Source organism: Homo sapiens, chromosome 13, assembly GCF_000001405.40.
Source record: "Homo sapiens chromosome 13, GRCh38.p14 Primary Assembly".
Taxonomy (NCBI): domain Eukaryota; kingdom Metazoa; phylum Chordata; class Mammalia; order Primates; family Hominidae; genus Homo; species Homo sapiens.
In genome coordinates, this window is record NC_000013.11 from 92602314 (window position 1) to 92615117 (window position 12804).

Here is a 12804-nt window from a genome sequence, read left to right on the forward strand (position 1 = left end):
CCCTCTGTGGCATTTAAAAGTATAATTCATCAACTAAATAATTAGTTGCCTTAATATGAGTTTATTCCAACTAGCTGTCTAATTTGTTGAACTGTGCCGACTTAGAGCTCTGTTGATTGGAGTTACAGGGTAGTTGTGAACATAAACTTGCCATTTGGATTGTTTACTCTACTAACTGCTCCAAATCTGCATGATCACTAAAGGGCTACTAAGGCAGTTTTTTATTTAGCAGCTTATTTCTTTTACACCAGTGTAACCTCTTGCTTTTGAAGACTGCAAAGCCCTAGGTTCTTGCAGACTCTTTCTGAGAACAGTATAGGCCAAAAATGAAAGACGGTGTGGGATTCTTGAAGGCAGACTATCCTTTTGAAACTGAGACTTCTAACAACCAATTCCAAGAGGGAAATTAGGTCAGTAACCTAATTATCTATGACAAAACAAGTTCAAAAGAATTGCTGTGTTGGACCATACTCAGACTTGATGACTCACTAAAAAGACACACAAGACTCAGAAGTCCTTATAGTCATAGTTTTGATTTTTTTTTCAACAAGAAGATACAAAGCAGTAACAGTAAAGGGGAAAGCCACATGAGGTGTAGTCTGAAGGACATAGGTGCAAGTATCCAAGTCCTCTCTCAGCAGTCTCACAGGACAAAATTGATTCCTCCGGTAAGTTGGGATAGCATGTGCAAAGTGTTGCCTGCCTAGGAAGCCCATCTGAGCCTATGTACATAGTGTCTACATAACTGATTTCAGTCACTGAAGCTATAGACTTCCAGAAGAAAAGCAATTGTTGACCATAAATCCCACTGTTTGTTTAAACTATCTTGACATAATGGTATAGTATGGATAAAGGTCTCAATTCCAATAACTCAGTTTCCAAGAACTGGCCAAAGACCAGTCATGAAATTAGGTCCTTGGGAATGTGCAGGATTTGAGGACATCAAGTCTGCTCAGCTAACTCATTCCTGAACAACAGCATTTTTTTTTTCCATATTCTAAAGCCTAAGAAAATCTCTGTCTTCCCAGGAGCAACCTAGTCTTCTCAAATCCCAGAACCACTCCCCTTACATGAAGCCTTCTAAAGAGGTTCTGAGCATTTTGTTTTGTTTTGGTTTGCTTTCACAAAAATTTACTAAACCTAGATTGTATGATTTAGTAATTAAAAATTCTGATAAGAACATTTGGATTATCTTATAGCTGAGGTTTCAATGATAGAAATGTTTTAAGAGATTGCACCTACGAGGCACAACACAACTTGCCTAAGAGAGCTCCAGGAATATTATGGGCTGGATAGATCTCTTTCATGGTTGTATTACCTAGGGTAAAACTAGACTACTTTAACAAGGAGACCCAACAACAATGGACTTGGAAAAGAAGAGTATATGTCTCTCTTGTGTTACATTTGAAGTGAGTGGTTAGGTCTGTGGGTGAATTTGCCTTACGAAGTCATTCCAGAATGAAGTTTCCTTCCTTTGTTTTGTGCCATCATTCAATAAATTGCCATCTTCTCCATAGCCAAAACTACATCATCATGAGTTCTGGATGGCAGGAAGGGGAGAGAGTACAGGAGGTATATCACTGTCTTGGGGACCAGGTCTGGAAGTTGTAAGCATCACTTTCAACTCCCTCCACTGAGGAAACATAATCGCATGAATATACTTAACATTAATAGAGGACAGAATATGTAGCTTACCTACGTGCTCAAAAAGAAGAGAAGAATGTATCATGAGTCAACCTTCAGTCTCTACCTCATGTAAGATACATATTATTTGACCACAAATTAATAAATTGCATGTTAACTAAAAGATCATAAAGCGGTATTAACCCATTAGTTTTCAATGTAAATCAGTAACAAAACAGGAATTACTTTACAGGAATTCACTTCAAGGTAAACTTTTTGAGAACATTTCTTTTGGATAAAAAATAAAAGGATCTCTACATTTCTTTGAAATGTATTTAGGGATTTACATGTGAGAAGTATTTATTCAGAAATCAGTATCTATCTAAATGTAGAAGTGGTTTAACATAATATTTGTAAATACTCAATAAATGTTAAAAATATAAGGCTACACAAATAAAATAAAAGACATAGATAATAAGCAGTCTTTGTGAATTAACAAACCAAATGGCTTTTAAAAACAGAACTCTCACACCTTGCCCTGTCTGGGCACCTAGAACTTTCTAAATTTTATTTTTTCAAGTTAACCCTCTTAAAAGTGGCAGATTAAACAAAGCACACTGAAACTATGCAATTGCGTAGATTAATTTCAGACCCAGTTTTAACTTCTTGTACTATTGTTTCTCAAACTGAGTGAAAAATTGCCTGAAAATGACGTTTGATTTTTGTCAGGAAAATCACTTTTTAATGAGCATTTATATAGTGTATTAAAAGTCCAACACTTCAAAGGAATTTTATTTCAGTATTGTTGTTTATGAGGTGCTTACAACATAGATGATGTCCATTACTAAGTGCTTTTATTTTATACATATTTTTCAACATTTCACATATAGATTTTTCCGGACAATACAAATGGCTGTGTTTTCTCATTAATATACAAGCTTTTCTTTTGATCTTGAAAGTATAGCAAGGAGTGCATTTTGTGGAATCTTGCTGACTCTTCATTAAGGAATTTGAGGGCAATTTAGGCATAAAGTATTCTGGAGCTTTCAGCAGTCACTGAATGTCAACCAGATCCCAGGGTCCCATTACATCTCCCAGACGAATTGCTGAATTATTGAACACACGTGAACACTATGCAATCTTGATTAGAGAATTGTTAATCAACCCATCATGATATATAAGTCAAAAACCAATTAGAAATCTGTGATTGGAATGTATGATGAAGAAACAATTAATTGCCTAGTTTAAGAAAAAAGGGAAAGGCAATCATAGTGAATTATTTGCTCTTTCCTGTACTCCACAAATTCTTGTAATCATTAATTCTCCAATATTACTAGATTTATAAATTTTTAAAAATGGTTTGTGATAAAAAGTATATTCATCTCCAAGCAAATACTTTACTTGTCACTACAGCTTATTTAAAATACCATTGTTCCAGCCCTCATCCTGGATTTTATTGTTTTCTTCCCCTAAAATAAATTATGTATGATGTTTTAGGAAGGCTTTGAAGTTCAATCATTTTTGGCAAAAGAGTAGTACTTTGCAAATAGTTAAATTAGAATTCTGTCTGTAGTTTATCCCTTTGAAACATTTCTGCATCAGAGAGATCTGAAAAATAAATGAGCAGCCGTATTCACTAGTTTTTTTTTTTTTTTTATTTTTTTGAGACGGAGTCTCGCTCTGTCGCCCAGGCCGGACTGCGGACTGCAGTGGCGCAATCTCGGCTCACTGCAAGCTCCGCTTCCCGGGTTCACGCCATTCTCCTGCCTCAGCCTCCCGAGTAGCTGGGACTACAGGCGCCCGCCACCGCGCCCGGCTAACGTATTCACTAGTTTTACAAAAATACACGGTTAGGACACCAAGGGAAAAAAAAAGTTTGCCTGGATTTTTTTTTAAGGATTAAGATAGGACTGGAAAAAAAAGAAAATATAATATTAGGTTATTAATCAGTAATATAAAAGAGCTAGAAACTCAAGTAAATGCTATCTGATGTGAAAACAAAAAGGAGGAAACTGCAACTTTTAATTCAAGAAGGAAGAAGTTTTAAAAATAAAAATTTTCAAAGCTATTTTAAGAAGGTATTAAACCTTTTAGTTACTTGGTCTGGGACCCTAACTTGGACCAACCATTACTCTTTTCTTTTATCTTTCTTTTTTTTATTATTATTATGCTTTAAGTTCTAGGGTACATGTACACAACGTGCAGGTTTGTTACATATGTATACATGTGCCATGTTGGTGTGCTGCACCCATTAACTCGTCATTTACATTAGGTATTTCTCCTAATGCTACCCCTTTCCCTTCCCCCAACTCCACGACAGGCCCCGGTGTGTGATGTTCCCCACCCTTTGTCCAAGTGTTCTCATTGTTCAATTCCCACCTATGAGTGAGACCATGTGGTGTTTGGTTTTCTGTCTTTGCAATAGTTTGCCCAGAATGATGGTTCCCAGCTTCATCCATGTCCCTACAAAGGACATGAACTCATCCTTTTTTATGGCTGCATAGTGTTCCATGGTGTATATGTGCCACATTTTCTTAATCCAGTCTATCATTTGTGGACATTTGGGTTGGTTCCAAATCTTTGCTATTGTGAATAGTGCTGCAATAAACATACTCTTTTCTTATATTTTTATAAACTTGTAGAATGAGGATGAGGTTTTCTGCTGCAAAGTGCTCAGGTCTACAATGTCCTTTCCATATTTTTTAGAGTATGACAGTTCTTATTAACTATTAGGATCTGGTGTCCACATCCTACATATTTAATACTGCCTCTGTTTGTTTATTTGAAGGGTGATATTACAAGGGGATTATCTTACTTTGCTTTTCTTCCCTTTGTTTTATTTTGGGGGAGTTTTTTTTCACTTTCCTCAAGAATGGTATGACTGCCGTCTTGACCATGAAGAAATCCTAAGTCTGGTAGTACGGTACAATGTAAATATCACTTGCAAATACTTTATAAGCAATTACTCCACATGCGCTTTGCCCCATTCAAAGTTTTGACTTTGGGAGGTTGTTTAAATTTTCATTTTTTAAATATTGCTGTTATATTTTTAGAATTTCTGTCAAATCTTAAGGGAAAATATATTTTGAATAATTATAATCATTAACAAATATTTTTGACTTTGTATGTAGATTTGATGTTCTGAAACTTCCAAAGTTTTAATGGCCATATCCAGCTATGTGGAAAATGTATCTGGATAATAATAGTTTGAGCAAGACCACAAATCTAATAAGATTTGGTAAAAAGAGAAATTGGGCAACTTTTTTGTCCTTTGAAAATAAAGTAATATGAGAAAAAATGTAAAGCTCTCTTTCCTGTTTTACCCTACTCTTCCCCAAGACCAGCTCAATTACTTTTAATGATTGTGCTCTGGAGAAGAGCAACATATTCAGGCTCATTATCTACTAGTGGCAACTTCAATTCTGCTTACGATGGCTGGCATTAGAGAAATAATAATTTCTATTTAGGAAGAAGACTTTTGTTTAACATATTGCCTATATTCTAGTCTCCCTAAGAGAATGGAAAACGACAGAAAAAAAAAATTTCAATCTCAGACATAAAAATAAGAACAGACTTTTTTTCCTTCTCCCTCTAATGGAAGAGACTGATAATAAGGCAGAAAATTTTCTATTTCAGTCCAACACAGTAGAGCCTCAAATTGTCTATGAAATTGTGTGTAGTTATTTAAATTCATTAAAGTTTTTATCCATTTTAATTGATAAATAAAATTATATATATTTTGTACATTATGTTTTCAAATATGTAAACATTGTGGAATGGCTAAATTGAGCTGATTTAATGTATGCATTTCATCACATACTTACTATTTTTTGTGGTGACAACACTTAAAATGCACCCTTTTACCAATTATCAAGACTTCAGTTGACCCTTGAACAACATGGGTTTGAATTCTGCAGGCGCTTTACACGCAGATTCTCTTCCACCTCTGCCTGCCCTGAGACATCAAGACCAACACCTCCTCTTTCTCTTCAGCCTAATCAACAAGAAGATAATGAGGATGAAGACCTTTATAACTATCTACTTCCACTTAATGAATAGTAAATATATTTCCTTATGATTTTCTTAATAACATTTTCTTTTCTCTAGCTTACTTTATTGTAAGAACACTGTAGATACTGTATATAATACATATAACATACAAAATATGTGTTCATCGACCATTTATGTTATTGGTAAGGCTTCTTGTCAACAGTAGGCTATTAGTAAGGCTATTAGTTAAGTTTGGAGAGAGTCAAAAATTATATTTGGATTTTCAGCTGCATGGATGGCTAGCACCTCCAACTCTTACATTCTTCGAGGGTCAACTGTACGTTGTTATTAACTGTTAATTGTGCACAGTCCTTTCCAAGAGCTGTGAAGCTTTACTTATCTAAAAGCACTTAGCCATGTATTTGACCAACTGAGCTTGGAATATGCTACTTCTTCCTCCACCCATTGCTCTTGTCTAGGAGTACTTTATTGTCTATAAAACAGTATCCTATAATGGTAGGCAATCCTAAGACACAGTTCTAGCCTTATTAGTTTAAAATCTGAAATTGTCCCCCTTTGTATACAGAGGATTTTTAAACTTAAATGCATGTAAGGGGAAAATTTGTAATATAAATGCATTATTTTGGCCCAGATATAATAGGGAGTGGAAGAAGTATCCAATATAAAGAAAGAATGCTCCAATTAATATTCAAATTCATCTTAAAGTAGAAAAGCATTCACCTATCCCTGTGTGTATACATGTTTGCATGTGCGGAATCTGAGCTGTGTTCCTGCCCGTGACTCCACCTTTGAAGATGTTGTATAGAGTTATCCAATCACTCATTTGTTTGTTATACACAATTGTCATGATCTTCATATCTTAGCTCTGTGCACACTGCCTAGACTATTTTTTCCATTCTTTTCTGTGCTCCAACCATAGTGTATAGGGGGCAACTGTGCTATTCTAAATATATAACCTAACTTATGCCTCTGTGAATTTGCTTCTGAATTCTCTTTGTCATGAATATCCTTTCTTACCTTGTCTGTTTTTCCTGTCTTGAAAAACTGTTATTGTTTTATTTAATTGGCAAAATCTCCTATATGCAGTTTTCCCCAATTCTTCCCCCAACCCTCAAAATGTTAGCTATTTACTCCTCTTTGCAGGTGATTCTGTGCATAAATCTGTGTTGTCATACTACATTCTAGCTTATCGTTTGTATTTGAATATTGGTATCTTCCAGCAACTTGGGTACGAAGGAATGTGCCAAATCTTTGAAACCCTAGGAACAATAAAAATGCTTAGCATATAGTAGGTATTTAATAAGTGTATCAGGATGAGGGAATAAAGGAAAAAAGAAGAGAGGGTGAATGAGAGGGGGTTGGTTGGGGAATACATAGGTGATGACACTTATTACCTTAGATAAGTTACTACCTCCTTTCTTTTCAGTTTTTTGAAGGAAAAATAATACCTGTCTAGCAGGTTTGTTCTAAGATTCTAAAGAAAAGTAAAAGGAAAACACTGGAAATGGCCAGATAGTTTACTTCACTAGATAAAACTTTATCTAACCTTCATTTACTATTCAATGTGTAAGCAAAAAATAGAGTGCTTTGTGATGAGGCCAGTTAACGTAATGGACCTGAACCAGTGCCAATAATGAGTTTTATGCTCCTGCTGTGTTGACCAGCTTTCATGCATGAAAACCTTATGAGGCACAAGCAGCTAATCTTAAAATGCATTTTGTTGATGCTTTTAAGTAAGAAAAACATAAGAATCACACCAGTTAATATATATCAAGACCCAAGTTGTATTAAAATTGAAGTTCAGGCCGGCATGTTGGCTCACACCTGTAATCCCAGCACTTTTGGGAGGCCCAGGTGGGTGGATCACAAGGTCAGGAGTTCGAGATCAGTCTGGCCAATATGGTGAAATCCCGTCTCTACTAAAAATACAAAAATTAGCCAGGCATGGTGGCATGTGCCTGTAATCCCAGCTCCTCTGGAGGCTGAGGCAGGAGAATAGCTTGAACTTGTGAGGTGGACATTGTGGTGAGCCTAGATCATGCCACTGCACTCCAGTCTGAGCAACAGAGCGAGACTCCATCTCAAAAAAAAAAAAAAAAAAAAAAAAATGAAGTTCAATGTACACAGCCTTAACATTTCCTTAAAGTTGAACTTTGTGTTCAAAGATTTTTTAAAAAGAGAGATTTCTATTGAACTTTGAACTGACTATAATAAATACCAGGTAAAATAAACACTTTCTGGGTTCATCATTATTATGGATATTTGATTATCTAGAGAACAACTATTTTGTGAATGGAAATAAATAGGAATATTTTATTTTATCCTAGTAGAGTTAATCTAGAGAGTTCATTCATTGCTTCAGAACAATTTCACAAACTTAATGTATCATAGATCTCAAAATTTTCCTAATGACATATTGATAATAGTTTATAAATGTTCTAATTTCAGCTAGGAGGAGTATCAAAGAAATGCGCTCCAGTCAGCTTTTAAAATATCTTGATGACACTTCCAAGGTACCATATAGTACCTCAATTTCTTTAGTCTCACAAAAGGAAAGTGTCGCACTGAGGCAGCTTATGCACACTTCACTTTCACAAATCTAGGAACAGCATTCAGCATTTCTGAAAGGAAAAATTAAGATTAATCTCTTTATTAGTCTGTTTTCATACTGCTATAAAGAACTGCCGGAGACTAGGTAATTTATAAAGAAAGAGATTTAATTGACTCATAGTTCAGCATGGCTGGGGAAGCCTCAAGAAATTTAACAATCTTGGTGGAAGGTGAAGGGGAAGCAGGCACTTTCCTCACAGGGTGGCAGGAAGGAGAATTGCCAAGTGAAGGAGGAAGAGCCCCTTAGAAAACCATCCGATTTCATGGGAACTCACTCACTATCACCCCCATGATTCAATTACCTCCACCTGGTCTCTCCCATTGACACATGGGGGAAAATATGGGGATTTACAATTCGAGATGATATCTGAGTGGGGACAAAAAGGCTAACCATATCAATCTCAATACATATTTTTTTTTTTTTTTTGCTTAATCTAGGTAGATTTCTCTGCTTAGTGATCAACTACAATATGTCCTATGTGGTACATTATAATCATGAAAGTTCCTGGGCAGTTCAGATATATAAGAGATATGAGGATATCTAAAATAATTTTATGACCATAATAAAATCACATTTGGCTTCTGAAGCAATAACTGTGGTATGGCAAATAGGTTTAATTCTTATAAACCAGGTATATTTAAAATATAGTTATAACCAATGAATAGAATGTAACTAATATAATTAATTGCATCAGACTTATCTCAGTAAGAGGTACAAAGAAAAAGAGGACTTTCACTTCCATGGACTTAGGCTGTAATCCCAGGACCGGATGACTCTTTGAGAATCAGGCATCTTCCATACTTTTTCTTTCCCTTTGTCTGAAAATGACTGCTGAGATTCCACTTGACAACCAATATCTTTACTATCACCATGTCAGAAAATGGATCCTTAAGGCTAAAAGATAAGCCATATTTAAATTCCAGTAACATAATGTATTCAAAGTATTTTCTCTGATGAAAATTCACCTTCAAAAATCTATAGTTTTGTTGTCAAATGTCTATAAAATGGAATCTGTTAGTAGTCCTCAAGAGTTTTTTCATATTTATCAGCGCACTTGCCTTTCCCTTTGCAAATGACTGTTTAATGCTCAGGACTATGTCCTAGTTACAGGATTTATTCCAAACACTTATTTAATGAATTTTGAAGTGAACATTTTAATTGTTATTAAAATACTAAAAATATTCTCTCTTTTCTTTTAAAAAGATTTCTCTTTCAGGCAATTGAACTAAGAAAGTATTTCTAGTACAGAAAGACATGGTTTTGGTGAATATTTTATAGCAGTGTATAAAACAGGATGTTCCTACTATTTTTACTGCCATACGATTCCAAATGTTTTAGAGCTTAAGTTTTACAAAAGTTTCAAAGAATCAACCATGAAAATTGCATGGTAGGCTTATTTGCATTGCGTACCAGGGAGAATATTTTTAGCTCAGAGCTATTTTAGACATGACTTGGTAAAAATGAACTCTCTTACTACTCCAAGAGTATGCATACATTTCTACAATAAATAATGAAGGATGAAAAGGTATGAAAAATATTACTGCAGTTGGAATTAGGTCTTTTCTCCAAGTTCTTTGAAGGGAGGTTAATGTGCAAAAGGGCATCCCTATTCATGGCAATCTGAATGCTGATAAATAATACATAATGCTAGCGATTATTACCTAATTTCAATATTTATTGAAAACTGTCATTTCAGAGCAATCAAAGCACATCACGAATTGTGCTGCTATCTACATTTGTGTAAATGTTCCATAAATATTGAGTTTCAGTCATTATCATTAGTATAATTTATTATTAACTTCTTGGAGACTTGAATCCACATGGAAAATGATTCAAATCTTAACATTATCTTCTTCTGTATCTATTATATTCTTTATACATATGATATAAATAAAGGAATAAGTTATTCAGTGAGGCCAGTAAAGCATATTTTATGGAGAGGGCTATTTCTGAGAAAAACTATAACATCACAAAACTTGTTTTTGATACCATCACATTTCCACAGTTAGTGTTATTTCTTGGCAACTTTTGCATCAAAGACAAACATACACAACTTCCTTTGGAATTTCAGGACTCTTATGTTGTTCTCATAGTGCTCACATTGCACTATAGAGATGCTGGTAGTCAAAATGTGCATTCATTCTCCCAACAGAATTCACCTTTCTAATAAGTGAAAAAACAATATTGCCTGTTCTGTGCCAGACATTATGACAGGAACAGGGTTATATTACAAAAATGATACTCAAATAAGATATTTGTAAAGTTCTTTGTCCTATAATATTTCATAGTCTAGTGCAAAAGATGGATATGTAATTAATGCACACTATAATAAAAATAACATAACAAATGACATTTATTTTTCAGGAACCCTTTTAAACACCTTACATGTATTAATCCTTATAACACTCCTAGTAGGCACTGTCAATATGCCCATTTTATAAATGAAGAAACTACAGTGCAAAGCAATTAAGTGCAAATGGGTTATTGCCAAGGAAGAGGACATCTAACTTTACCTAAATGATCGAGACTTTGATTAAGGAAGGCTTTATAGAAGCAATACGCCTGAATTAAACTTCCAAAATGATTAGGTTTGCAATGATAAGGAAAAAAATAATCAAACAGGGACTGTGTTCGCAATATATGAAGTATAGAAAAAATAGCAAGATATCATCTCTACATTATATATATAATTTATATATAATATATATATAAATTATATAATATATATTTTATATATAAAAATATATAATGTATATAATAAATATTTATATAATATAATATATTTATATATAAATATATAATATATTTATATATAAATATATTATATTATATATAAATATATATTATATTATATATAAATATGATATATATTTATATATAAATATATATATTTATATATAAATATGTATTATATAATTTATATATAAATATGTAATATATAATTTATATATAAAATATAATATATAATTTATATATAAAATATAATATATAATTTATATACAATAATATATATAATATATAATATTTTATATATCATTTTATTATATTTATTTTATTATTTTATTTATTATATTTTATAAATATTAAATATATAATATTTATATATTTTATTATATATATTTTATATAATATATATATTATATATATATAAAATCAGGGCATGGTGGTACATGCGTATAGAACCAGGTACTCAGAAGGCTGAGGCAGGAGGCTCACTTGAGCACGGAGGTCAAGGCTGCAGTGAGATAGGATGGTGCCACTGCACTCCCACCTGGGTAAAAGAGTGAAATCCTGTCTCTAAAAAAATTCTTTTAAAATAAAAATGAAAACAAAACAAAAAACCAAAAAGTGAAAAAGTCACACAGATGTGAGAATATATGTCAGATTTGGAAAGTACCAAGTCAGTATTCAGTATGCCTAGAATTTAAGACTGAATGGGAAAAGAAGGAATGAAGCCAGAAAATTATCAGCTTATGAAGGGTTCTGCATGCCTTTCTAAGAAGAATGATTTTATGCAAGAATTTTTAAGATATTTAGCAAAAGAATGAATCTCCACCCTATCAACTCTCACTCACCAAATATAATTTATTTTTGTCCCTTTTTTTGCTATGGCTCTCCTTGTCTAATACCATTAAAAATAATTGAATGTAAATGACCATATCTTAATGAAGTTTAAATATCTTTGAAAAATAATACTTTGGTATATTTGAAGATCACAAAGCCTTTAAGTTTCTAACACAGATGTTTCTAGATTTATAATGTGGTTACTTCCCAACAAATCTGTTGTAAAACAAAAATATCCTAAGTTGAAAATGCATTTAATACCCCGAAAAAGCCATTGTAAAAATGAAATGTGGTAAGTTGAACCATTTTAAGTCCAGATGCTCCTCCACTGAGGATGGAATTATGTCCTGATAAATCTATCATAAAAGTCAAAAAATCCTAATTCAAACCAGAGTAAGTTGGAGATCATCTGTATTGACATTTCAGGTCACTTGGCAGAGTTGTGAGCTGCTTTTGGGCAGAGAAAACCATCCGCTTACTACAGTGAATAATTCAAATGGTTGGTTACAAGAAAGTTAGGAGAGTAGCAAATTAGGGGCCTCTGGATTCAATGTCTATGTCTGTCACTCACTTGTTGCAAGTAATTTAGCTTCTCTTAGCTCCTCTAGTCAACCATTTTCTCAACAATGTAATGGGTAGGAGGAGAGACACTGAGAATCAAGGTTATTTCAAATTCTTTTTCAAATTCTTACTTCTTCATTCTATGATACTAATCTTGACCTATTCAAAAAGCAAGTTCGAATTGCAGATCTAGATTTCTCTAGAAACATCTTTTACAAAATAGTGTTAACTCTCCAGAAGGGAAACATATTGATGTAAGCAGCTGAAACTTTTGTATAAGTTCCAAACATTTAACAGGAGATATTTTGTTAAATATAGAAAGCAAAATGACAAAACAGTAATGCTTTTCTCCTTAAAAGGGTCGTATAATTAAATCTGTAAGAATAGTCTTATGCATATGATTACCTCCATTTCACGTTTAAGGAAGCAGAGTC

At 33.4% G+C, this 12804-nt stretch overlaps 1 protein-coding gene and 1 long non-coding RNA gene across 3 annotated transcripts in view; one reads left to right on the forward strand and one right to left on the reverse strand.

The window, feature by feature from the left end:
• Positions 1-12804, forward strand: part of GPC5 (glypican 5) — a 1468617-nt gene that overhangs the window by 1203693 nt on the left and 252120 nt on the right. The window lies entirely within an intron of this gene.
• Positions 8333-12804, reverse strand: part of LOC105370315 (uncharacterized) — a 67055-nt gene continuing 62583 nt past the window's right edge. The window contains exon 3 of the long non-coding RNA XR_931643.4: positions 8333-9139. This is a non-coding gene — a long non-coding RNA (uncharacterized LOC105370315). The remainder of the gene's footprint in view (positions 9140-12804) is intronic.